This window comes from Homo sapiens, chromosome 2 (genome assembly GCF_000001405.40).
Source record: "Homo sapiens chromosome 2, GRCh38.p14 Primary Assembly".
NCBI classification, from domain to species: domain Eukaryota; kingdom Metazoa; phylum Chordata; class Mammalia; order Primates; family Hominidae; genus Homo; species Homo sapiens.
This window is the reverse complement of record NC_000002.12, coordinates 85,417,312-85,441,519: the sequence shown is the minus strand read 5'-3', so window position 1 is coordinate 85,441,519 and position 24,208 is coordinate 85,417,312. Positions and strand designations below refer to the sequence as shown.

General features: G+C 54.8%; 2 protein-coding genes across 30 annotated transcripts in view, besides 11 other annotated features; one reads left to right on the top strand and one right to left on the bottom strand.

Annotated features, from left to right (window-relative positions):
- Window positions 2,242–2,757: an enhancer, noted in NCBI's record as "NANOG-H3K27ac-H3K4me1 hESC enhancer chr2:85665886-85666401 (GRCh37/hg19 assembly coordinates)". NCBI's record gives its function as "activates a minimal SCP1, AML or CMV promoter by ChIP-STARR-seq in naive H9 embryonic stem cells {active_cell/tissue: H9 hESC(naive)}" and the evidence as "EXISTENCE:reporter gene assay evidence [ECO:0000049][PMID:30033119]".
- Window positions 2,758–3,274: an enhancer, noted in NCBI's record as "NANOG-H3K27ac-H3K4me1 hESC enhancer chr2:85665369-85665885 (GRCh37/hg19 assembly coordinates)". NCBI's record gives its function as "activates a minimal SCP1, AML or CMV promoter by ChIP-STARR-seq in naive H9 embryonic stem cells {active_cell/tissue: H9 hESC(naive)}" and the evidence as "EXISTENCE:reporter gene assay evidence [ECO:0000049][PMID:30033119]".
- Window positions 3,518–3,627: a silencer, noted in NCBI's record as "silent region_11700". NCBI's record gives its function as "represses an Ori minimal core promoter by ATAC-STARR-seq in GM12878 lymphoblastoid cells {active_cell/tissue: GM12878}" and the evidence as "EXISTENCE:reporter gene assay evidence [ECO:0000049][PMID:35858748]".
- Window positions 3,638–4,067: a silencer, noted in NCBI's record as "silent region_11699". NCBI's record gives its function as "represses an Ori minimal core promoter by ATAC-STARR-seq in GM12878 lymphoblastoid cells {active_cell/tissue: GM12878}" and the evidence as "EXISTENCE:reporter gene assay evidence [ECO:0000049][PMID:35858748]".
- SH2D6 (SH2 domain containing 6) lies at window positions 4,491–22,806 on the bottom strand. 26 transcript variants are annotated; one of them, NM_001394463.1, is made up of 24 exons: window positions 22,590–22,806; window positions 22,276–22,491; window positions 19,206–19,317; window positions 19,030–19,090; window positions 18,830–18,924; window positions 16,113–16,212; window positions 12,823–12,936; window positions 12,052–12,148; window positions 11,908–11,933; window positions 11,505–11,539; window positions 11,086–11,156; window positions 10,868–10,982; window positions 10,252–10,310; window positions 9,561–9,621; window positions 8,399–8,421; window positions 7,889–7,949; window positions 7,409–7,487; window positions 7,150–7,180; window positions 7,023–7,047; window positions 6,397–6,455; window positions 6,024–6,107; window positions 5,696–5,854; window positions 4,926–5,054; window positions 4,491–4,683 (listed from the first exon to the last, which is right to left on the bottom strand). In NM_001394463.1, exons 8-23 carry the CDS (start codon window positions 12,052–12,054, stop codon window positions 4,938–4,940), a joined length of 1,008 nt encoding a protein of 335 aa, NP_001381392.1. In that variant the 5' UTR covers window positions 12,055–12,148; window positions 12,823–12,936; window positions 16,113–16,212; window positions 18,830–18,924; window positions 19,030–19,090; window positions 19,206–19,317; window positions 22,276–22,491; window positions 22,590–22,806; the 3' UTR covers window positions 4,491–4,683; window positions 4,926–4,937. The 26 variants fall into 26 exon arrangements, 25 of the variants coding, with proteins under 25 accessions (NP_001381392.1, XP_016859334.1, XP_016859333.1 ...); NR_172131.1 differs by lacking the exons at window positions 6,024–6,107; window positions 9,561–9,621; window positions 22,590–22,806 and having other exon boundaries at window positions 4,491–4,709; window positions 19,030–19,083; window positions 22,276–22,589; XM_017003845.2 differs by lacking the exons at window positions 10,868–10,982; window positions 16,113–16,212; window positions 18,830–18,924; ... (2 more) ...; window positions 22,276–22,491; window positions 22,590–22,806 and having other exon boundaries at window positions 12,381–13,582.
- Window positions 7,897–8,567: an enhancer, noted in NCBI's record as "H3K4me1 hESC enhancer chr2:85660076-85660746 (GRCh37/hg19 assembly coordinates)". NCBI's record gives its function as "activates a minimal SCP1, AML or CMV promoter by ChIP-STARR-seq in naive H9 embryonic stem cells {active_cell/tissue: H9 hESC(naive)}" and the evidence as "EXISTENCE:reporter gene assay evidence [ECO:0000049][PMID:30033119]".
- Window positions 8,568–9,238: an enhancer, noted in NCBI's record as "H3K27ac-H3K4me1 hESC enhancer chr2:85659405-85660075 (GRCh37/hg19 assembly coordinates)". NCBI's record gives its function as "activates a minimal SCP1, AML or CMV promoter by ChIP-STARR-seq in naive H9 embryonic stem cells {active_cell/tissue: H9 hESC(naive)}" and the evidence as "EXISTENCE:reporter gene assay evidence [ECO:0000049][PMID:30033119]".
- Window positions 9,239–9,910: an enhancer, noted in NCBI's record as "H3K27ac-H3K4me1 hESC enhancer chr2:85658733-85659404 (GRCh37/hg19 assembly coordinates)". NCBI's record gives its function as "activates a minimal SCP1, AML or CMV promoter by ChIP-STARR-seq in naive H9 embryonic stem cells {active_cell/tissue: H9 hESC(naive)}" and the evidence as "EXISTENCE:reporter gene assay evidence [ECO:0000049][PMID:30033119]".
- Window positions 20,808–20,957: an enhancer, noted in NCBI's record as "active region_16126". NCBI's record gives its function as "activates an Ori minimal core promoter by ATAC-STARR-seq in GM12878 lymphoblastoid cells {active_cell/tissue: GM12878}" and the evidence as "EXISTENCE:reporter gene assay evidence [ECO:0000049][PMID:35858748]".
- CAPG (capping actin protein, gelsolin like) overlaps window positions 21,980–24,208 on the top strand; it is a 27,939-nt gene continuing 25,710 nt past the window's right edge. For 2 of the 4 annotated variants that reach the window (XM_047445951.1, XM_047445953.1), the window contains exon 1: window positions 21,980–22,113. The gene's annotated coding sequence lies outside the window, so the exon portion shown is untranslated. Of the gene's footprint in view, window positions 22,114–23,087; window positions 23,254–24,208 lie in introns of those variants that run through there. The other 2 variants (XM_047445948.1, XM_011533122.2) reach the window with 1 other exon arrangement.
- Window positions 22,824–23,359: an enhancer, noted in NCBI's record as "NANOG-H3K27ac-H3K4me1 hESC enhancer chr2:85645284-85645819 (GRCh37/hg19 assembly coordinates)". NCBI's record gives its function as "activates a minimal SCP1, AML or CMV promoter by ChIP-STARR-seq in naive H9 embryonic stem cells {active_cell/tissue: H9 hESC(naive)}" and the evidence as "EXISTENCE:reporter gene assay evidence [ECO:0000049][PMID:30033119]".
- Window positions 23,186–23,345: an enhancer, noted in NCBI's record as "active region_16125". NCBI's record gives its function as "activates an Ori minimal core promoter by ATAC-STARR-seq in GM12878 lymphoblastoid cells {active_cell/tissue: GM12878}" and the evidence as "EXISTENCE:reporter gene assay evidence [ECO:0000049][PMID:35858748]".
- Window positions 23,356–23,465: an enhancer, noted in NCBI's record as "active region_16124". NCBI's record gives its function as "activates an Ori minimal core promoter by ATAC-STARR-seq in GM12878 lymphoblastoid cells {active_cell/tissue: GM12878}" and the evidence as "EXISTENCE:reporter gene assay evidence [ECO:0000049][PMID:35858748]".

The following is a 24,208-nucleotide window of genomic DNA, read 5'->3' as shown; positions in this document are numbered from 1 at the left end:
CAGCTAATTTTATTTTTATTTTTATTTTTTTTAATTTTTAGTGGAGATGGGGTTTCACCATGTTGGCCAGAATGGTCTGGATCTCCTGACCTCGTGATCTGCCCGCCTCGGCCTCCCAAAGTGCTGGGATTACCGGTGTGAGCCACCACACTCAGCCAGTATATGGACCTTTTAAACTTTTAAGTTCAGGGGTACATATGCAGGTTTGTTACGTAGGTAAACTTGTGTCAAAGGGGTTTGTGGTACAGATTATTTCATCACCCAGGTATTAAGCCTTGTACCCATTAGCTATTTTTCCTGATCTTCTCCCTCCTCCCACCCTCCCCTCTTCGATAGGCCCCAGTGCGTGTTGTTTCTCTCTACATATCTATGTGTTCTCATCACTTAGCACGGGCACCTACAGGTAAGAACATGCGGTATTTGGTTTTCTGTTCCCGTGTTAGTTTGCTAAGGATAACGGCCCCCAGCTCCATCCATGTCTCTGCAAAGGGCATGATCTCATTCTTTTTCTATGGCTGCAAAGTATATGTTAAATCCATGTTTTGTTTTTTGAGACAAGATCTTGCTCTGTTGCTCAGTCTAGGGTGCAGTGACGTGATCATGGCTCACTGCAGCCTCAACCTTGAAGACTCAAGTAGCTCAGACTATAAGCACACACCACCACACCCAGCTAATTTTTTTATTTTTTTGTAGTGATGGGATTTTTTTATTGGCCAGGTTATTCTCGAACTCCTGAGCTCAAGTGATCCTTCCACCCTGGTCCCCTGAAGTGCTGGGATTACAGGTGTGAGCCACTGCGCCCAGCCTATACATGTTATTTACATCATTTCTCATCCTCACAACAATCCTGAGACATATGTATTATTAGCCCCATTTTAAAAGTGGAGAGACTGGCCGGGCACGGTGGCTCACGCCTGTAATCCCAGCACTTTGGGAGGCCAAGACGGGTGGATCACTTGAGGTCAGGAGTTCAAGACCAGCCTGGCCAACATGGTGAAACCCGTCTCTACTAAAAAAAATACAAAAATTAGCTGGGCGTGGTGGCAGGCACCTGTAATCCCACCTACTCAGGAGGCTGAGGCAGGAGTATTGCTTGAACCCGGGAGGTGGAGGTTGCAGTGAGCCAAGATTATGCCACTGCACTCCAGCCTGGGTGACAGAGTAATACTCGGTTTCAAAAACATAAAAGTGGAGAGACTGAGGCTAAGGTTACGCAGGAAGTGAGTGGTTGAGCCAGAATGAAACTTGGGTCCTTCTGCCCGTGTTTTCACCAAAGATCAGACTGCCTCTTCAGAAACCAAAGCTGAAAGCCTGGCAGAAGGTTGCTTAGACCATGCTCTGAGCCCCGGCAGGTATGGTTTTGCTGAGGCTTTCATGCCCTTCTCAGCTGCACACTCCTTCAGCTTCCCTGTGCTACAGACCCTCCCCGGCCTCTGGAGACAGGTAACCCACTGTCTGTTTGTAATACACGGGCTTCTTCACCAAAAGGCACTTTTTTTTTTTTTCTTTTTGAGACGGAGTCTTGCTCTGTCTCTCAGGCTGGAGTGCAGTGGCGTGATGTCAGCTCACTGCAACCTCCACCTCCAGGGTTCAAGCAATTCTCCTGCCTCAGCCTCTCAAGTAGCTGGGATTACAGGCATGTGCCACCAGGCCTGGGTAATTTTTGTATTTTTAGTAGAGACAGGTTTCACCACGTTGGCCAGGCTGGTCTCGAACTCCTGACCTCAAGTGATCTGCCCGCCACAGCAGGCTGGGATCATAGGTGTGAGCCACCTCACCCGGCCTCCAAACGGCAGTTCTCAAAGACTTAATCCCCTAGTCGGTGACCCTGCCTAGAATTTTCTAGAGTCTGGCCGGCTGGTTGGGAGGAAATGGGGATGGGGTGCTTAGAGGGATGTTGGCATGGTGAAAAATCAAGGGGACTCATCTCTCGCCTGAATGATCAGAATACCTGTAGCCCCTAAATGTTCCCCTGGCCTCTGTGCAGCCCCTCTGGCCCATTCAGCACTACACAACGAGAGTGATGCTCCTAGGATACCATCATCCCTCCTGCATCCACCCCTGCTCAGAGCCTCCATGGCTCCCCAGTGCCTTATGGAGGCCTCCCAGGCTCCTCCAGACCTAGCCCCTGCCGACCTCTCCAGCTTTCCCCACTGCCCCTCACACTTGCGAAGGCATGAGACTTGGAACCCTGGCCATATGTGGCTATTTAAAAGTAATTAAATCGTGAATGAACAATTCAGTTTCTCAGTTACATTAGTCACATTCCAAGTGCTCAATGACCCCCAGTGGCTGGTGGCTACTGTACTCGACCATGCAGATACAGAACGTTTCTATCATCACAGAAAGTTCTATTGGACAGCACTGGATTGGACTTTTCACTTAACAAAGGAGGCCCTGATAAAAGAATGTTATCAGCTTTAGAGGAATCCAGAATAGACTTGACCTATTTGATCACTCTTTCAATAAATACACGCCACCTGCTGTATTCCAGGCCCAGAATATCCAATAGTGGGCAGTAGTAGCCGGTCTGTCCTGGGAGTGAAGAGACGACGGCCTAAGTACCTGGGCCCAGGCTGGGGGAGTGGTGAAGGCTCCCTGGACAAGGGGCCATCTGCTCAGGCCTGCAAGCTGAGGAGGTACTGGGCAGGCAACAGGTTCCTTTTTGCCCTCAAGGGCCCGGGTTACAGACTGTCCCACTGCCTAGCTGCTCCTCCTCTCTTTCTCCCCAGGGAGGGGAGGAATGGAGGCTAATTCCTTGAAGTTAGTCCCTAAGCTGGGAAAAATCAGAGTCCCTGTTGGGCCATTAACTTCAGGAGCTCTGGGCTGTAACTTCTACTCCCCCACCAAATGCCTCATGGCTGCGGGGCTCAGTAACAACAGGCCCCTGAGTCCCGAGGCCTTTGTGGCCACAGAGTGGAGAGCTCCTCTAGGGAAGTGGAACCTGTAGAGCTGTTGTGGGGATACTAGGGGGCTGACTGTACCCTGAGTCCCAGCCCAAGGTGCCAAGCTCCCCAGCCTCCACAGCCCCTGCGGGCCTGCGGGATGATGCTGGGGAGGGTGTGGAGGACGGAGGCCAGGTTCTGGAGGGAGCCAGGGCTGGGCCAGTGGGGCTGAAGGCGTGTCTTGCCGGTCTCCTATTCTCCTGTTTCTGCTAGAGGCCTCCGCTGCTGGTCCCTTCCTCACATACACACACCGGTGTCCACCCGCCCCCCGCACCCCACCCCTATGACGGCTGCCCCAGCCCGTGCCCCTTCCTGGTGCCCTGGCCGATAACTGTGTCTTCCCAGCGATTTTGACAGTGGCAGCTAATTGGCCCGAATTTGGTGTTTCCTTCTCCCCATCAGGCACCCCTTTACGCAGGCATCCCTTTACGTGGCATGTCTCACTTAAGCCTCCTAACCGGAGGACGATTACGTAGGGACGATTATCTTCCCCTTATTACAGGCAAGAAATGACGGTTCCGAGGCGGTAATCCGCAGGAGCCGGCACTGACGGAGACCGTCCACGCCCTGCAGCCCCGCCCCCCGCCCCCAGCCCCCCGCCCCCAGCCTCCCGCTTGCATCCCAGTGTCTTCAGTGCCAGTCCGCCGGCCCCATCCCCCGCGGGGTTCCTGCGCCTCCCGGCCCTGCCAGAGCCCGGGGTCGGAGGGCAAGAAGGGCCGGGAGGCCCGGGGGTGCGGAGTGGGATGGGGGTCCGGGCCCTCGGTGCCAGCCTGAGCTCGAGGCGGCCGCAGAGCCGCCCTTTGTTTCGCTGCGCTCGCGGCTTCTGCGGAGTCACGGTCACATGGAGCTTCCGGCACGGGGTGTTCCGGGCGCCACGCCAGGGCCCCAGACGCCCCCGCCCCCTGGCCTGCCCTGCGCCGCCCGACGCCCTCGCCAGCCTGCAGGCCGCCGGCCACCCGGTGCTCCCTGGGCCTCGGGGTCTGCGCCCTGTCCCGCAGCTCCGCCTGGCCCCCTGGGGACCTGGAGTGCCTCTCCACCTCCCATCGCCCCCCAAGCTCTCGCCCGCTGTCCTGTCTTCTCTGAGCGCCACTGTTCAGCTTTCCCTAGCTTTGACTCTAGACTGGAGCATCAGATCTAGTTGTTTCCCGGGGCCCACTGTCTCCCCTCCTCTAGACAACACCAAGCTCCCAAAATCAGGCTCATCACTCCCCCGGGAGCAAGGTACAGTAAGTAGGTGTTGGAGGAGTAGGTAATGGACTCCATTCTCCTCATTTAATAGGGTGTCAGAGACAGCACTGCGCCTCCCTCCCTTCCCCACTCCAACTCCCACAAATCAAAACAAAAATCAGCCACTCAGCCTGGCCTCGCTCGGCACAGAGCATCTAAAAGTAAAAGCCCCAATCTGGGGTAGAAACGGCTGGCCCTTTCTGCCCGGGCCTAGCTCCTGCATCTCCATAACTGCAGGCTAGTCTGCCCTGTGACACTTGAGAACCGTGGGGCCTCCCTCGTGCAGGACACCTCTGCTTCATTTAGCAGATTCAATAATTCATTCAACAAATGTTTATTGAATGTGAACTTGTGCAAGGTAGGCCAGTCCCTCTCAGGGTGCCCTAGGCCCACAAGTAGATGTGAGAGGATCCTTTGCTGTTCCAGCAGTGCCTGTGCTGTCCCCTGACTGGTCTAGGCCACCACGGTTCCTTCATCCAGGACCTAGTGAACTGGGCAGACACCTGCATTCCTGGAGGCCAGGAAGAGGGTGTCAGCCTTGGAGAGGCAACAGAGAGGGCAGTGGAAGGCTCTAGGTGAGCATGGGGTGGGGTCTCCAGGACCCTTCCCTGGGCCTCCAGGCAGGCTTTCCCCATTAATGCTGCTTGTGGGCACTGGGAAAGGCTAGGGTGAGGAGGGGTGGGGAAGGAGAGAGGAAGACAGCCCAAGGTGGGGCGGGACAAGAAGCAAACTGGGGCCAAAGGCGGTGTGTACTTCGCTGTGGCCTCAAGGCTTGGTGGGGAAGAGCAGGCAGGTGAGTTCCCGGCTGCCGCTGTGTCTGTCCACAAGGGGCAGAGGGTGCCACATGAAGTGCTGGACCATGGCCGCCACGGAGGAGAAGAGCTGGCCAGGGAGGCAGGGCATCCGTGAGTCCCATGAGCCTCATGCTGGGAGCAATTTCCTGAGGCAACTGTGGGACTCTGGCAAGGGGACTTTTGACATTTTTCTAGATATCTTCCTTCCTGTTTGCCCCATGCCGCTCCACTGCCATTTTGCTGCCCCGTTCCAGGCCTCAGGCAACTTTCCTGCTGCTGCACCCATGGGCACGCCACTGGCCAGACTCTTATGTCCAAGGCTAGATCAAACTGACTCTAGGGTGCGCCTCTGCCCTGGTCCTCCAGCGTGGGGAGCTGTGTGATGGGTGTCTCTAGTTTGCATCCTAGCAAATGCTGGGTGCGACATTGAGTCCTGGGGGAGGTAGACAAGAGTCTGAAGATCCTGGACCCCGCCCTCCTCCCAGCTGGGTTCATTAAAGGCACAAAGGCCCCACCTCGACCCTGTGCAGACTGAGCCATGGCAGGAGGGGCACCTCCCCCACCAGAGGGCCAGGTGTCTGGAAGGAGTTCAGGGCTCTGGGCTCTGTCATTTCTGCCCACCCCAGAAAGATACAAAATGAAGATTTTTCCCTAGGCAAATGCTCTTGGCTAGGCCTGGGGTACTGCTCTGTGGTCCCTCCTTAGGCCCCTGCCTCCTCCAGCTCCCACCTCCTCACGGTTCCTGCCCTCCCGGCCCAGGGCATAGTGGCGTCCGCCATCCAGCCGCCGGATGGGAATGTTGAAGACCCGGCCTCGGAGAAGCACTGCCAGGGTGAAGGGCTGGGAGCCATGAGGCCCTGAGCTGGGGCGCACGGTATAGGCCCCATCCTGTGGAGGAGACCCCAGCCATCAACCTCATCTTCCAATGGCCCTCCCACTGCCCTGACCCATGATGGGGCCAGAACCCTCCTGGCCCTCCTGCTCCCCACTGCTCGGCCAGCCACAGCCTGTGAGCAAAAGGGGTTTTGGAGAAGACCCGGGGTCCGTGGCTGCCCACCTTTTGTAAGTGGAGCAGGGCACTCTCAACAGCATAGCGGTCACAGTTCCCCGAGTACCAAGGCTGAGTCAGCAGATCACTGTCCTGTGCATACACACAGTCACTCAGAAACATGCCAGGGCACTCAATCAGGCATGCGGAGCCGAGGACCCAGGGTGCAGTTATTTATGTTCCCATCTCCTATGCTCAACTGAGTCCCCCTCAGGCAGAACAAAGTGGTGTCCCTGTCTGGGGCACGGCGGGGTGCCGCACACGTGTGTTCAATGTGTTCTTGCAGTGGTGCACCCTTCAGCCCAAGAGGGTTCCTGGGTAAGGACTCTCAGGCTCTGCTCCCGGAACCTCTCCCTACAGCCTGCTCCCAGCCCCTCCTCACCTCAGCAGCTGAGGCACTCCCAGTGGGGGCTACAGAGGGAAGAGACGATTTCCTTCCTTCTAGAAGAAGCAGATTATTGAGCTGGGGTGGGGTGGGGTGGGGTGGGGGTGGGCAAAGGTGGCTTCTAGGGGACAGCTGCGGGGGTGGGGGGTAGGAGGAGGCGTACATGGCCCCGAGCCCAAACCCCGGCACCCAGTGCTTCCTCCACTCTCCAGATCCAGTGCCCTGGCAGGACCCACCAGCCAGGCCTCGTGTGACCTCCAAATGAGGCGTGATCTTGGGGCACAGACTAGGAGCTTCCTGATTTGGTGCAGGCACCGGAAAATGCCCAAGAGGGTCCCCTCAGGCCTGATCTCAGCTGGAGTCAGAGCTTCAGGGACATCCTCAGTAACTTGGGGCCTGAGGGAGTCTGGCCTGCAGGGCTGGGGCTGGGGCAGGCCCTGGCAGGACCACCTGCATTCATGCTGAAGATGCCTGCATTCACCTAGTTTTTTTTTTTTTTTTTTAAGTCTAGTCAAGTGCAGTAGTGAGAAGTGGGGAAAGGGTAGAACAAGGAGTTTGATCTGTAACTGACTGTGAACAATCAGTTGGGATAACTCACTACCTTTGGACCAGCCTTTACTCACCTTTAGAGGCAGCATCTGCTGTTCCCTGGCATACAGGAGGTCTGATCAGAAGAGGCCGGGCCCCAGGTCCCACCCTGAGCCTCCCTCCCTGCCTCCCTCTCTTCTCCCCTGACCATCAGCCTCTTACATTCCGAGTTTCCTGGGGGGCTGTGGTAGGCCTGTGGGAAGCAAATCGGGGGACAGAACTCAGGGTCTTTATGTTTTTCAAGAGAAAGGGCCAGTGAACCCAGCATTCCAAGCTGCCCCTGCCACCACTGCCAACAACCATGGGACAGTGCAAGGAGATTCCATCCCAGGGTCAGGGCTGGGGAAGCCTGAACTGGGGTGCTGTCTCTCTCTGTGTCTCACATACATACACACAGGTGCACACCTGGTGGGGCACTTACCTGGGCACCACTGATGTCCTGGGCAGAGGGCCTGAGGGCATCAGGACTTGGAAGCTGAGAGTCTGAGTCAAAGCCAGGACTGAAACAGGGAGGGGCAGGCTGGGCTCGGCTGAGCACCAGGCAGGGAATCCATGCTGACCAGGGCAGGGCTGAGAACAGCTGCAGGGCCTGCTGCTTCTCTGCAGCCTGGACTTTCTGGGAGTGCTTCCAACCAGAGGCAGATGCTGTCCTGGCCGCAGCAGCTGGGGAGCCCCACCCAGCCCATGCTCTAAGGGGAGCACCTCCCTTGCTGGCACAGTGTGGGTCAGCCTGGACCACAGGCAGGAGTGTGATGTCCATGCGGTGACTGAAGGCAAATGCGTGTTGGTGGGGGGTGGTGAGAGGCAGCAAGGGAAGCAGATGGAGCCAGGAGAGTGTGTTGTGCTGTGAGCAGCTGAGGGCCTCGGGCAGGAGGGGTCTGGAGCTGAGGGAGGGGCTCACCTGGATCCGGCTCACATTCCAAGTAGAGGTCCTCATCAGGTTTCTTTGGAGGGCCTGGCACCTAAGGTAGGGAGGGGTGTGTGAGACCATGGGTTTGACCAGTCCTGAGGCTCCATTTAGGACTGGGGTTTTGGGGGAGGAGCCATCGATTTGAAGGGGTGGCAGGCACCTCACTCCCTCCTCACATGGTGACCCTCTTTCTGGGAGCTAGCTTGAATGATTACAATTTCTCCTCTGTCTCAGAGGGGGCATCCCACGAGCACCTTCCCCTTCAGAGGCGCCCATGGGCCCCAGCTCTCAGAGAGTGTGAGGAGGATCCCTGGGCGGCACCCTCAGGACAGCTGGCTCATTGCCTGCCAGGGGCCTGTGGCTGAGGGGCAGGGGCCCTGCTCTGGGCCTTTTCCCTTGGTTTCAGGGATATTTCCTGGCCCTCCCTAGGCCCCACCCCACCCCTGCCAGTTTCTTAACCAGAAGCCTGGAAACTGAGGTGGAAATGGAGGGGCTGCTCACCACTCTGGACGATGCACCCTGCTCTGAAAGGAAAAGGAGAGAACCACCTGTCATGCACGGCAGGGAGCAGAAAGGAATTCAGCGGGACTGAGGCTGAAAAAGCAGAGTCTCCTTAGGGTGCCTCCGAGGAGGACATCTCAGAGCCAGCTTTGAAGCCCCAGGAGAAAGCTTTTCTCATCCCCTGATGGTTCTCTGCACAGCCCTATGGTGTCACCTTTCCTGACCTCCCAACTGACTTGGCAGGCCTGGCTCCAAATGACTTTGGACTGTTCAAAAAATCATAGCAGCTGGGCACAGTGGCTCATGCCTGTAATTCCCAGCACTTTGGGAGGCTGAGGCGGGCAGATCACTTGAGGTGAGGAGTTCGAGGCCAGCCTGGCCAACATGGTGAAATCTTGTCTCTACTAAAAATACAAAAATTCGGCCGGGCGCGGTGGCTCACGCCTGTAATCCCAGCACTTTGGGAGGCCGAGGCAGGCGGATCACGAGGTCAGGAGATCGAGACCATCCTGGCTAACACGGTGAAACCCCGTCTCTACTAAAAATACAAAAAATTAGCCGGGCGTGGTAGCGGGCGCCTGTAGTCCCAGCTACTCGGGAGGCTGAGGCAGGAGAATGGCGTGAACCCCAGGGGGCGGAGCCTGCAGTGAGCCGAGATTGCGCCACTGCACTCCAGCCTGGGCGACAGCAAGACTCCGTCTCAAAAAAAAAACAAAACAAAACAAAACAAAAAAAATAAATAAATAAAAATACAAAAATTAGCCAGAAATCGCTTGAACCCGGGAGGCAGAGGTTGCAGTGAGCCAAGATCGTGCCACTGCACTCCAGCATGGGTAACAGAGCGAGACTCCGACTCAATAAAAAAAAAAAAAATCAGAGCAGCCGAGCCAAAAAAAAAAAAAAGAGCAGACTCTGCTTCTGTGTGATCTTAGGCACAATATTTCATATCTCTGGGCCTCAGTCTCCTCATTCATTTCATTAGAGGCAACGCCACCTGCCTGCCTACCTTAGAGGATTGGTAGGTTAAAAAGGGGCACAGCCAGGGGAGTGCCATGAAGGGGCAGAGTATGAGACCCATGTCAGGCAAGCACAGCTCTACCCCGTGGCGGGAGTACTCCCCGTCCCAGGGTGGAGCCACAGAAAGAGAGGACATCCCCATTACCTCGCCTCCCAAAGATAGGTCCCTGCTTTCCGGCCACCGGCAGGCTCACTGCTCCCTTCAGCTGTGGGCACAGTGGGGCTGGTGAGCGCAGATGGTGAGAGCAGGAGGCAAGGATGGGGCGGGATAGGATGGGATGGGACCACTTGTATCTGTGTAGCTTTAAAAAATGTACAAAAGGGATGACTCTTCCCTTTGCTTCTACCCTGTGGCTCTTTCTTTGCTGTGAATCGCTCCCTGCTTTTTACAAAAATTTTAGTGAAATGTATGATAAAGGTAGTAGCTTTCAAAATCCATAAAGTCCCACTGGGATAAAGGTGGGAATGGGAGCTGGCAGTGACTGACAGCTGAGGAAGGGATTTCTTTGCTCTGGAGGTGGGGAGGGGTCCTCAGGCCCCAGAATCCAAGGGAAGGGCAGCTGAGCCCCTCCCCTCCCCCTCAGAGACATGAGAAGGGCACCGTGGGTGAAGCTGAAGGGGAGGCTGGAAGGACCAGGCCAGGCGAGTTGGAGGAGTGACTGACAGCGGCAGGGCTCTGGCTTCTCATGCATCTGGCATCTGATTTTTCAGGGGCCTCTTGAATGCAAATGTGGGGGAATCTTGCAAATGAGATGCCTCTAAGATTCACTCACTGGGAAATGGCAGCCTGGGATGGGGCGGGTGGGGAAGGAGGGACTTCTGGAGAGGCCTCTCACCATGGTGGGCTGAGGCAGGGGTGGCGATGGCTTTGATGGACCCAGGGGGCCAGAGTGATCTGGAAAAGATCGCATTTGTTGTGAGTTGGTGGGTTCCTCCCAGGTGGGTTCCCATTTTCCTCCCGCCTCCCCCCGACCAGCCTCCATTTCCTCCTCCTTTCCTCGCTCCCCTTGCTCATTGGCTTCCTGACAGCCCAGTCTCCATGGCAACTGGAGGCGGGCAGTTTCCCTGCCCCAACCTGGCCGAGGAGCTGAGCAGTGGGGGTGGGATGCCAGCGGCAGCCGGGGCTCTCCCAGCACCCCCGCCCTTGGCCTGAAGAAGTGTTGGGATCTCAGAAGGGGAATGCCAGGCCCCTGCTGTTGCCTTGGTTACACCACCCCTCCTCTTCCCTTCCCACTCTTCTTCCTCCCTCCCACCCTCCCTCCCTCCGTTCCTTCATCCCTCTCTCTCTCCCTGCCCAGCCAAGAGGCCCTGGTGACTGCCAGCTGAGGCCTCCTTTGCTGCCTTAGTGCGGGCAGGGGAGGAGAGGCGAGGCCTATGTCCTCTTGTCTTGTGGGGACCCTCCTGCCCTGCCCAAGCACCTGGTCTCCCTGCCTCCCACCTCCTAGCCCTCACCCAGGTACAAGGAGTCCTCCTCAGTGCCAGGAAGGTGGGCAGGGGCTAGACTGAGGGGCAGAGCCTCACAGGGGGGCAGCTCATACTTATTTTCCTCCTCGTCCTCCTCCTGGGCCTGGAGGAAGGGATGCTCAGCACAGCAGGAATGGAGGGGAGAGGGTGTTCAAAGCAGGCTCTGGCCGCTGCCTCCCCACCCCAACCTCAGTAGGCAGACTCACCTTGTGTCTCCAAGTCCCTGGGGCAGGCAGGAAGGAAGGGCTGGGAGCATCTTCTCTCCAACCTGGGGAGTCTGGACAGACAAGCTGGCCTCACCTCCTCCCTGCCCACCTTTCCCCAGTATAATAAACCACCCGCCCTCCAGTGCTTCAACTCAAAGGAACCACTCATCACAGGCATTCCCAATGCTGCCACGGGGCCACTGAGGTAGGCAGTCTGGAAACAAGGGGCCCTTCCACCTATGCCCATCCCCTGTCCCCTGCACCCTTGACTCTGGCCAAGACAGATGGGAGAGCTAGGCCCCTGTGACTCAGCAGTGCTGGGCTCTGGGAGGCAGGAGGTGTGCAGAGTCACTCAGGGGGGACCTGACTTGCAAGGGATCCCAGTCTGTTGGGCCCCTCTGACCCCCTGTGTCACTTACCCACACATCTGGGGGGTGGGAGCGGTGGCCCCAGCCTGCAAGCACATTCTAGTCAACTCTGCCCAAGGGGCCCTGGAGTTTCTATGAGACAGACGCTGTGTTCTGGGACATTCACATCCATGACAGTGTGACTGACAGGTACCCTGGTACCAGGGCAGCAGAGAAGGAGGCTGGGGGCAGAGCTGGTGCCCGTGGGTGCATAACTGCATGAGCTGGTGCCCTGGGGAAGCCGGGAGTCAGGGAGCCCTAGTGCTGACAGGAAGTGGAGGCGCGTGAATGGTCTCCCTGGGCAGAGAGGGGCCAGGCAGAGACAGCACAGCTCCTGGGATGGCTGTGCCCAGGAGAGGAGGGGTAGAGAGAGACAAGAGGGGAGGGCAGGGGAGAGAGGAGTCCCAGTACTCACCGGGGCCTGCTCCCACTGAGCTTGTCCTGGAAAAAGCCAGGGTGGGGAGTACAGGGGTCAGTGCAACCACCCCCGTGGCCGAGTCCTGGGCCTCCCAGGTGGGCAGGTTTACATGCCTGAGGCCGTCCCGGGACCACATCTTACCATGGCAGAGGCAGAGGAGCTTTGCCTCCCTGGAGCCCAGGATCTGCCACAAATGGCCTGGGGACAAGGGCTCCATTGTTCCCATCATTTGCATCTCCTAAACACCAGGAAGGTAGATCTGCTGTGGCCTCCAACCCTGGACCAACTTCATCCAGGACACTCTCAGGGCCCAGCCCCAGGTCTCTGAGCCTCCCCTAGGCGGGCCTCCCCCAGCTGTGGTCTCCAGCCCCTCTGCACGATAAGAGGAAGAGCCAAGCTGGACCAGGGTTCTCAGGCTTCCTTCAGCTCTCTGATCAGTGTCACCTTTCTCAACTCATAGACAACATTACATTATTTGGCAGATCCAATTAAAAACAGCATGCTGGCCTTGCAGACACTTTTCTTAAACCCTTTACTACTGTTGTCATTTGCTGGTGAGTGATGACCAACGATTAAGGAGATGAAGGCGAGGGAAGCGCTTAGAAAGAAGTTCTCATATTTAGTGTGGCAGCTTCATTTTTTGATGGATGTATTTATCCATTCAGTGGGTATTTATTGAACATCCACTGTCTGCCAGAGGCTGTTCCAGGCGTTGAAGATGCCGTAGGAAAATGAAGCAGGAAGGCATTACGTGTGTTTCCTCATTGGATTCTCACAATAACGTCATGCCGCAAGTACTAGTTTTATCCCTGCTTTTCAAATGAGGAAACTGAGTGTATTAGTCAGCTCAGGCTGCCATAACCAAAACCCACGAACTGTGTGGCTTAAGCAACAGAAATGTCATTTTCTCACTGTTCTGGAGCTAGAAGTCTAAGATCAAGGTGCCATAAAGGTTGGTTTGTGATGCGGCCTCTCTTCTTGGCTTGTAAACGGCTGCTTTCTCTGTGTCCTCACATGGCCTCTTGTCTGTGCAGAGAGAGGCGGTTCTGGTAACTCTTCTTCTTATGAAGACACCCACACTATCAGATTAGGGCCCCACCCCCATGACCTCATTTATTCTTAATGACCTCCCTAAAGACCCTATCTCTAAATAGTCACATGGGGGGTTAGGATTTTAGCATATGAATCTTAAGGGAACACAATTCAGTCATAACACTGAGGCTCTGAGAAGTTGAATAGCTTTCCTGAGGTCATGCACTTAGCAAGTGTTGGAGGTGGGATTCAACCTGAGCTCTGCCTGCCCCAGAGCCTGTGCCCTAAAGGCTAAGCAACCTGTACCTCACCAGGATTGGGTCTGGACCCTACTTTCCTACGATGGAATTAGCAGTGCTAATTGTGACCTTCCTTAAGGAGCTCATGACTTCCAGGGGCTCTGTTACCTGAGTGAATTTAGGAACTTTGACTTTCTGAGAAGCGTGGCGATAAAAAGATAAAAAGGAGGGCTGGGGCCTGGTGTCTGACTCTGTTTAAGTCAGGGAATGAGGAAACACAGACCACGATCATGAATGATGACATGAGAACTTCTAAGGCCCTGGAGCTTTCTTGTGCTTATTATTTCGGTGGCATCCTGGCTGTTGGCACAAAGGAGAAACAAAGCCCACGTGCTTGCATCTTTGGGGGCCACCAGGCTGGGGGCACTGGGGAGACACCCAGGGATGGAGAGGAAGACCAGAAAATTCCTGGGACCTGCAGGCAAAAGGGCATCCAAGAAACCAAGAAGAGTCACTGGGGTGGCTTCACAGGGAGCCCATTTGGTACAAAGGGAAAAACCAAAAAAACAAAAATAACAAATCCTCATCCAGAATTGGTTCTACTGGGTCTATTCTTTGTCCTCCACTCTCAGCTGACCTTTCTTCCACATTTGAACCATAAGGCAGGCGGCAACTTCCCTCACCCAAGGGGACCTCGTTTGGAATCAGGGTCAGTAGGAAGTTCTGGACACCACCCCACTGTAAACCTCAGCCTGAGCGAGTTTCCCAGTCCATGCTGCCCTCACTCCAGCCACCTCCCTGCTCTGCTCAGGGCTTTGCATAGGCAAATGCCAAGGCCTGGGTGAGTGAAAGGGCCCCAGGCAGAGGGCAGAGTCCATGCCATCTGGGTGGGGGCACTGGCCTGGGCAGATCTGGGAGAAGGGGAAGGAAAGAGGGCTGCCTCAGTGGCCTCATGTTGTCACACAGGCAGATTGGGACATTCTCTTTATCCATCTTTGGCATGGAATTGCTCTGTGCACACCATAGATATTCCCTGGGGATGAATTCCTGGAAGTGGACTTACTAGAAACTCACATTTTGAAGGTATAACGCCCCACTGTCCAGCAGCACCTGAGTGCCTGTTTTATGGTCCTTCCATAGCACAAAGTGATTCTCCAAATTTCTCAGGTCTCAGCTACTGAGAACAGGCCATGGGCCCAAGGTAGTCTTAATCCACCCTCAGAAAACACACAGTGGTGTTTAGATAAAACTCAAATGGATTTTTCCCCTGCTCTCACACAATAACAGTCAACACAGAGCAGACTTCTGTGACCAAACGTGGTGGCGGGGTGGGCAGTTCTCCCCACCACCCAGTGAGCAATCAGTTCTGCAGCGGACACAGCGGGGTGTCCTCCAACCCAATTCCAACACTACCTACCTGGAGACAGAGTCAGATCCCACGGGTTGAGGGCTCAGTCCCCAAGACGCCTGCCCGGCCACCCCAGATACCAGGCACAAGTCTGGGCCTCCAGAACTTCTGACCAACTGGCTTCAAGCTGGGGTTCCCACAACCTCCTCTTTGGGTTTGATTAATTTGCTGGAGCAGCAGCTCACAGAACTCAGTGAAACACTTACTTATGTTTACTGGTTTATTATGAAGGATATTGCAAAGGATACAGATGAAGAGATGTGTAGGGCAGAAATAGTGGGAAAGGGTGTGGAGGCTCCATGCCCTCCGTGGGCACACCACACTCTAGGAGCCTCACATGGTCAGCTATGGAGAAGCTCTCTGAACCAGGCCTCTTGGGTTTTTATAGAAGATTCATAACCACAGCATTCCTTCTCCCAGAGTATGGGGCAGGACCCTCTCTGGAATTAGGGTCCCACAATCAGAAAGGTGGAGGAAGATTAGAGTACGGCCTTAGGCGGGTGAAAGGAGGACAGGAAAAGGCCAGAGAGATTCTGTTTCCCCAAGGCCTGCTCCTGAGGCCTAACACAGCCAACATCATAATCAAAGGCTCTAAACAGGGCTGTGGGAGTTATGAGCCTGGAACCGTGGACGAAAACCTACATATGGAAGAAATACTTGAGGTCATTTTTGCCAGCAGACAGAGAAGATGGCGAAGTGTAGCCGGGACCCGTGGTGTGAGTGGAGTGGGATTCATTGCAAGGAGGAAGATGGAGGTGGCTCTGAGGACCTGCAGGGGGACAGGTAAGCAGGCTGTGGTCAGAGGTCTCAGAGGTGGGAGAGCGCAGCACGTGGAGGAAGAGCCGCGGAGATGTGGGTGGCTGGGCTCACCAAGAACAGAAGGGGACATCTGCCATCCTTTTTGGCTGCTAAACATGCTTTACATTTGGGGAGTTCTCCGCCTCATGAATCCTCGTTTCCAATTGCAGAAGCCAGGTGAGGCCTTCCCAGCCTCCCCTTGCCGCTGAGGTGCAGGGTCTGCCAGCCAGAGGCCCCGTGCCAGACTCTGAACCTGCATCAGGCACCAAGAAAAATGCACCCTGGGAGGGTGGTGACAGCCAAATCCTGTTTCCAGAGGCTTAGGGGAGTGAGCCCTTAGTGCCACCACCCAGGGCCCAAATCAATGGCATTGGCAAACAGTGGTATCAGTGTCCAGGGTGGCTCTGCCAGGCTGGCTTGGCTGTGACCTTTGGGACATTATTCCTGGCTAACTCTCTAGCCCTGCTGGAGATGCTATGAGCTACAGAATAGTTTTAATAATTTATTTTCCAGCTTAAACTAGCTAGAGTCTGTTTCTCTTACTTTCAGTTAAGAACTTTAATCCGGCCGGGCGTGGTGGCTCACGCTTGTAATCCCAACACTTTGGGAGGCTGCGGTGGGTGGATCACAAAGTCAGGAGTTTGAGACCAGCCTGGCCAACATGGTGAAACCCTGTCTCTACTAAAAACAATACAAAACTATTAGCCGGGCATTGTGGCGAGTACCTGTAATCCCAGCCCTCAGGAGGTTGTTGAGGCAGGAGAATAGCTTGAACCCAGGAGGCGGAGGTTGCTGTGAGCCGAAATCGCGCCATTGCTCTCAAACCTGGGCAGTAAGAGTGAAACACAGTCTCAAAAAAAAAAAAAAAAAAAAAAGAAAGAAAGAAAAGAACTTTAATTTGGGGATGAAACCTCAGAGTCAGTGGGATCACCAAATGGATGCCAAGAAACTCAAACAGTGAACCCAGGTATGGGTGTCTCCTGGGAAGGTGGAACCAGATAGAACTAGTGTTACGGCGTTATACTTGTATAGTGTTGGGACTATTTATTTATTTATTTATTTATTTCGAGATGGAGTCTCGCTCTGTCACCCAGGCTGGAGTGCAGTGGCACGATCTTGGCTCACTGCAACCTCTGCCTCCCAGGTTCAAGCGATTCTCCTTTTTCAGCCTCCTGAGTAGCTGGGACCACAGGCGCGCATCACCATGCCTGGCTAATTTTTGTATTTTTAGTACAGACGGGGTTTCACTATGTTGGCCGGGCTGATCTCAAACTCCTGACCTTGTGATCCACCTGCCTCGGCCTCCCAAAGTGCTGGGATTACAGGCGTAAGCCAACAAGCCCAGCCAGGACTATTTATTTTTAGAGACAGGGTCTCACCCTGTCACCCAGGCTAGAGTGCAGTGGCATGACCATAGACCACTGCAGCCTCAAACTCATGCCTCAAGTTTAGGTTAGGACTCAACTGATCCTCCAGCCTCAACTTCCCAAGTAGCTAGGACTATATGCTCACACCACCAGGCCCAGCTAATTTTTAAACATTTTTTGTAGACATGAGGTCTTGCTATGTGGCCCAGGATGGTCTGAAACTCCTGGCCTCAAGTGATCCTCCTGCCTTAGCCTCCCAAAGTGTTGGGATTACAGGTGAGACCTACTGTGCCCAACCATTAATTATTTTTATAATTTAAAAAAATCCATCAATATAGATAGAAAGAAAGAAAAAGAAGGGAGGAAGGGAAAGAGGGAGGGAGATGTGACCTGGACTTCAAATATAAGGAAGCACAGGAAGACAGAGGCACTAGGGGAAGGCAGGGCCAGGGAGCGGGAGGCCAGGCCAACAGGAGGTTATGTGGGGGCCACCATGGGAAAGCCAGGTTTCCCTTCTTGAGGGGAGTGGAAGAGAGGTACTGATGACACAAGGATTCCTCTCCCAGCAGAGTGGGAACCCACAAAGGCAAGTGAAGTTTAGGTGGGGTAGAAAGGAAAGAACTTTCTGAACATGAGGTTAGGGCCAAGTGCGTGGGGAGAGGTCTGTCCCTGAGGAAATAGGGGGACAGGAGCTGGGGAGCTCAGAAGCTCAAGACCAGCCTGGAAACAGGGGGACAGGGCAGGGAGCTGCATGTGGAGAAGAAGGTCCCACAAGGGTAAGGGGCCTTGAGTCCTCAGGACATTTTTGCCAGAGCAGGTGCTCAGGTTAGAGGCCCAAGACGTTCCTGGTGGAAGGGCCTACAGCCAACGGAACTCTGTGGTTGGGTTCAAGTTAAAGCCAGGGGCAATCCCGGGGGACAGCAGTTTGCAGTAGGGAGGGAAGGGGCTGTCCTGGGCCAATGGATGATGGGGCTGGCTTCACACAAGCTAGCAGAGGCCCCTCTTCCTCCCTCGCCTGCTGCTGTCACAGGTCTGCTGACTCAGCTGACTCGGGACAGCTGTGATGGGTGATGAAGGGCTGACAGAGCGAGGGACAGATGGCTCCCTAGGAGAGGCCTCTGCCCCATCCCTCCCTGGTGCACAATCATTTCTTGCCACAGTTTCAGAGCTTTGTGAGAGACCATCCCTCTGTCTCCCCTGGCAGTGGGTAGAAAGTCTGGTGTGTAGTTTGTTGGCCAGGTGCAGTGGCTCACACCTCTAACCCCAGCACTTTGGGAGGTCAAGGCAGGTGGATCTGTTGAGGTCAGGAGTTTGAGACCAGCCTGGCCAACATGGTAAAACCCCATCTCTACTAAAAATACAAAAAATTAACCGGGTGTGATAGCACACGCCTATAATCCCACTTACACGGGAGGCTGAGACAGGAGAATCACTTGAACCTGGGAGGTGGGAGTTGCAGTGAGCCGAAATTGTGCCATTGCACTCCAGCCTGGGCGACAGAGTGAGCAGAGTGAGACTTCGTCTCAAAAAACAAAACAAAACAAAACAAAAACAACAACAACAACAAAAAAAAAAACAGGCCGGGTGCAGGGGCTCACGCCTGTAGTCCCATCACTTTGGGAGGCCAAGGCAGGCGGATTACCTGAGGTCAGGAGTTCGAGACCAGCCTGGCCAACATGGCGAAACCCTGTCTCTACTAAAAATACAAAAATTAGCCAGACGTGGTGGCACGCGCCTGTAATCCTAGCTACTAGGGAGGCTGAGGCAGGAGAACTGCTTGAACCTAGGAGGTGCAGGTTGCAGTGAGCCGAGATCGTGCCATTGCACTCCAGCCTGGGTGACAAGAGTGAAACACCATCTCAAAACAAAACAAAACAAACAAACAAAAGTCTGGTGTGTAGTTTGTCTCTGTTTTTCCGGAAGGCATTCCACTAGTTCTTCTCAGGTTCTCCTAGGGTTAGGCTGGGAGCTGAAAGTTGAGGTTGGTTTTCCCCAGCCTCTAGGGCACAGTGTCCCAGACAGCAGCATCCTCTTCCCTCTGTCCCACCCAGGTGGTGTGCCTCTGTCCCACTCACCTGTCCTGCCCTGCCCTGTTCCGGAACCTTTGCTCGTAGTATCTCTGGTTGTGTCACGGCTCTGCCTAAAACCCTTGAGTGACTCCTCATGGCTCCTTGAACAGAAACCAAATGCTTCTTGATGCCTGGAAAGATCAGGCCCCTCCTACCTCCCCATCCCCAGTCCCTCCATTGTTTCCCAGGGACTCCCTCACACTCACCTTCTCTCTCTGCTCCTCCAATGTGACTGAGGCCCAGGCAGACCATTCTGTGTCCTGTTGACTTAAGGAAATTTTAGTGGAATTTCTAGATATTTACTCAATCTTTACAGAATATGACAAAGAGAGAGAGCATTCTTTTTAATTTTTTTAATTTAAAAACAGATATGGGGTCTCACTATGTTGTCCAGGCTGGTCTTGAACTTCTGGGCTCAAGCAATCCTCCTGCCTCAGCCTCCCAAAGTGTTGGGATCACAGGTGTGAGCCACTGCACTCGACCAAGAGGGCATTCTTAATATGCAGCACAACAGTAAAAAGAAAAAAAAAAGAAAGAAAGAAAAAAGGACTCTTCTATATGTATATCATACTTCAAAAAATGTTACCCCCAAAATGGCAATATCCTCTTCACAGATGTCCCCGTCTCCCAGAGCCCAGCCCTCTCCCTTCCACCTTGGCTCTTTATCCTGCACTCAGCCACAGTCTCTTTAGCTGTCTTTCAGCTTGATCCATTCCCCCGCTGCCCAGATTCTGCCCCCAAGAGAGCCCAGGAGGTGACCAAGTACACAGGATACACAGGTGAGGTTGGGTGTGGGGGAGAGTGGTTGCAAACACAGTGTGACATGGCTTCTTTCCACCCTTTCTAATCTCCACCAGGCCCTTCTTATCTGGAGTGTACATTTGCTATTCCTCCTCTGGAACATCCTGGCCCCTTTCCTCCCTCCTCCTGCAGGCCCCAGCTTAGGTGACCCTTCCTCAGCAGTGGAGGTCCCAGACCAGGACAGTCTCCTACCCCGCTCTCTGAGCTCCCACCATAATTAAACCTACAGGTTTATTTCACAGCTAGACTGTAAACTCCCACACTCGACTGCACGCTATGTAAATGGGCAGCCACTGTGTCTGCTAGGTTCACGGCCAAATTCCAAGTGCCGGGCCCACAGTCTGGCACACAGCAGGCTCTCAATCAATATTTGTTGTAGCTGCTATTCAAACCTTACTCATTCTTTACAGGTTGCGCAAAGCCTGCCTCTCTGCAAACATCTTTGGTCTCTCTTCTCTGAAAGGCCCGTGTCTTGCCCATTTCCTGTCCATATGTCTTCGACTACCGGGCCTAGGCTGAGGCACAATCCCCCGAGGTCCCGGCTGTTTATCTGCTGAAAACCTTTTTCCCCAGCGCAGATGGATCACCAAGGACTCCCTCACACTCACTTTCTCTGGTTCTCTGGATACCTCTGGCCGACCTTCCCCACCCCACTGGGTCCTTTCCTCAATTTGCCTTCCTTAGCGGGAGCGGCCGGCGTCTGTTCCTCCCCTACACTCTCCCTCCTCCACCAAATGTAACATGGCCCTGCTTAGGCTTCCTTCTTCAGCACAGAGCCTGGGAGCCAAGCTTCTCCTGTTCCCAGCTGGTCTTCTACCCTCCCCGTTAGGAGAGACTGGACACAGTGGCTCCCCGACGTCTCCAACCCCACCTCCTTCCTTGATGGGCCTGGAGGGCCCTGAGATCACCCTCCCTCCCTTTTACCAACAGAAAAGCCGAGGCCAGAGAAGAATGGATGCTGGCCAAGGCCATATGATGTACACAGAGCCAAAGCCACAGTCCCCTCACCCCGTCCCGGGCCACTGTGGGGACCTAAGCAGTCGTTCCACGGGAGAGGGCGACCCCTGGTGGTGAGGAGGGGCATGGCAGCCTGTCGCTCATTTCCTGGGCCCGGAGGCTGACGGTGGAAGGGGCGTGGCCTGGAGGACCACCGACCCAGGCTTTAGTTATCAGGAAGGTAAATGAAGGCAAGGCCCGCAGAGCGAAAGAACGTGGGAAGTTAGGACAAGTTTTGCTGGGCTTTGCCCTTCCTTAGCCACATTCCCTGTAATGACCTAACAACACTGCTCTGTGACTTTAACTGCACCCTGCTGATTGCTGGTTGGATCTTCAGGGAGCAGGAATGGGCATTCAACAGCTTTTGGCACACTGCATGTCCCAAGGGTCATTACTGACTTGAGGGTCTGGTGCGAAGCCCTGGAATGCAGAAGCTCACATTCTGATAATAAGATTTCTAATAATAAGAGAATGGGCTCAGTCCGGGCACGGTGGCTCATGCCTGTAATCCCGGCACTTTGGGAGGCCAAGGTGGGCTGATCACCTGAGGTCAGGAGTTCGAGACCAGCCTGGCCAACATGGTGAAACCCCGTCTCTACTAAAAATACGAAAATTAGCCAGGCGTGGTAGTGTGCGCCTGTGATCCCATAATCCCAGCTACTGAGGCTGAGGCAGGCTGAGGCAGGAGAACCGCTTAAGCCCGGGAGGCAGAGGTTGCAGTGGACCGAGATTGCGCCACTGCACTCCAGCCTGGGAGACAGAGCGAGACTCTGTCTCAGGAAACAAACAAACAAACAAACAAACAAAACAGAACGGGCTCTTATTAAAGAGTCCAGGGACTGAGTCAATAGCTGTCTCCAAGTTTCTATGGTACCTATCTCTCCTCTCTAGGGGCAAAAGGGCTACTCAACAAAAGGCTGATTGTTTTAACAGAAACACTCAGAAAACCAAACCTTTGAGAACTTCCCAGGCAGAAATAGGCATGCTTAGAGACCACGCGACCAGTTAATATGAACCCCACATCTGCTATCAAGAGAATCTGGGCAATCTACTTTGAATATCCCTTTTGGAGCTGTTTCTAGGTGTTTAGAGATCAAATGAAATATTTCTAGGAAGTAGCTCGCCTCGAACTAACCACACAAGAATGAAATCTCACTGACTTACAAGGTCATGGCTAAACCTTCATTGACTAGGTATTTTCCTCCTTCCTTGATGATCCAGTATGTAGCAGTATATGCCCAGATCAGGAAGTGTAAAAGCTGAAAATGGAGTTGGAGACAGAAAGTCCAATGTGTTGCTGGCCACTGTGGTGTCACTGCTCCCGATACAGGTGTAACCTGAGTCTCCCGCTTGGGAGCCAGAAATCAGCTGAGAAGAGGCCTCTGGAAAGAGGCTGCCCTGGCCCAGAAGGGTGGATGAAGTAGGGCCTCAGCACAGCTCATCCTACCGAGCAGGCCGGACCCTGAGTTCCTGGCTTGCACTGAAGGGTCTGGGTAAGTCCCTTCTGTAGCGCCTCAGAAGCTCCTTGGGCAACCTGGGAAGTTAGGACAAGAGCTCTGACATTTGACCCTGAGGTGTGAGGAGAGTGCTTTGAGAGAGAGGATGCTGAATGCGAGCGCCCTGGTTATTACCTCCTGGCAGCCTCCTAACCTCACCTTGACTCTGCCATGTAAAATTGATGCCTGGGCGCAGGGCGCCGACGATGGTCAGATACCGCGGCCTGCACACCCTGGGACCTACATCCCTGACCTGGAGGACCCAGGCCTTCCCCGGGCTTCACCACGAGTCCTGCCGGCCACACAGGGACCCTAACAGACCTAGTCCAGTCTCAGGGTCTGGGCTGCTCCTCCTTCCAGGAATGGGAGTTTGCTCTAGGCGATGGAGGAAGGGTTCAGGAGGCCACTCTGCCTGCTTAGCAGGCTGTGGGCCCAACCCCCCACCCACCATCTTCATCTCCCACGGCCCCAACCTCGTAGGGAGGGCAGGGCGGGGCTCAGGTTCGCAGAGAAGGAGGGCTCGGACCAGCGACTCCAGGGCAGAGGGGCGCGTGCAGGGGTGGGGAGCTGGGTTTGCGAGGAGAGAAGGCCATCTCTTCCCCAGCAGGGTAGCCCCCACCTAGCTACCGGGATCCCACCCTGGCTGGCGCAATCTTTGCGTCCGGATCAGCACCCAAGGCCCCGCCCAACGGCCCGCTGCCTGCCGGGATTTGTAGTTTGTAGGGGAGGGGCCAAAAGGCGCGCGCGCGCGCGTGTGTGTGTGTGCGTGTGTGACTGTGTGTTTGTGAGACTGTGTGTGTAAGTGTGTCCGGGGGTCTGTTGTGGTGCTCCCGTCCCCGAGGGCCCTCCGGACCTGGGCTCAGCAAAGGCACCACAGGCCGCAGCTTCCGAGACCCCGCCCCGCGGCCCACTGCCTGCTGGGATTTGTAGTTCTTAGGGGTCTAGGGCCCAGGCTGGGGCCGGGTTGGGGCCTTACACGCGTCCTGGCGTGTGGCTCTCCTGCGTCCTCGTTTTTCTCGTGAGCCCTGGATCTGGACAGTGGGCCCGGCGCGAGGCCCTCAACTCCGGCTGGGCTCCCGGTGGCACTTTCTGCCGACCCTGAGATGTACCCGCCACGCCTGCGGGACTGACCTCTAGGTGGGCAAACCGAGGCACAAAGAGGGGCGCGCTCTGGCCGGAGTCGGCCCTCTTGTGAGAATTTGGGCTGGGAGACCCAGCCCAGGCCTGGCAGGCAAGGCTGGGTCAGGCGAGGGTCCTGGGCCCTTTCGGTGTAAGAGTGTGCAAAATAATGAACAGGCCTGCCCAGGACTGGCTCTGCACATTAGCGCTAGTTACCTTACAGGCTTGACTGATCAGATTTTTATTTGGCACCACTACAGAGGGGAGCCCAGGGAGGGAGGAAGTCTCTCGTGACCAAGAAAACCTATGGTCCACCCTGGCCTACAACTCTGCTTTAACGACAAAAATAAACCGAGTTTGGGAGGGGGTGAGGAGGAGGGGTGTTTTGTAAACTGTGAAGTCCAGGTTATGAGTGAGGTGTTATTATCATCAGGATCAGACCTCAAAGCACTGGAGGAAAGGTCTGGGCCTTCAAGAGCCTCACCTCAAAAGGGAGGGTATGGCCGGGCGCAGTGGCTCACGCCTGTAATCCTAGCATTTTGGGAGGCTGAGGCAAGCAGATCACCTGAGGTCAGGGGTTCAAGACCAGCCTGGCCAACATGTCGAAACCCCATCTCTACTAAAAATAGAAAAAATTACCCGGGCGTGGTGGCACGTGCCTGTAATCCCAGCTACTCGGGAGGCTGAGGCAGGAGAATTGCTTGAACTCAGGAGGCGGAGTTTGCAGTGAGCCGAGATGGTGCCACTGCACTCCAGCCTGGGCAACAGAGCCAGACTCTGTCTCAAAAAAAAAAAAAAAAAAAAAAAGAGCTGAGATAGCTGTTTGCATGTGAAAGGACTCACAACTGGCACTAGCATGCGGTGATAGTGGGGAGGGCATGGACTCCCACTACATGGCTCCCATCTATCCTCTGCCGCTTACTAAGTGGGACCTAGAACAAGTGATTTTGACCTACTTTATCTCTCTTTATCT

Bases quoted from the DNA above. Each gene is read 5' to 3' on its own strand.
- SH2D6 (XM_017003839.1), bottom strand. From the start codon at position 11,713: ATGCAGTTATGCACCCACGGGCACCAGCTCTGCCCCCAGCCTCCTTCT. The intron at 7,950-8,398 runs GTGAGCAGCCCC...TCCCTACCTTAG, and splicing joins AGGGTGCATCGTCCAGAGTG to GTGCCAGGCCCTCCAAAGAA. The intron at 7,048-7,149 runs GTAAGAGGCTGA...CCTGTATGCCAG, and splicing joins CCCCCCAGGAAACTCGGAAT to GGAACAGCAGATGCTGCCTC.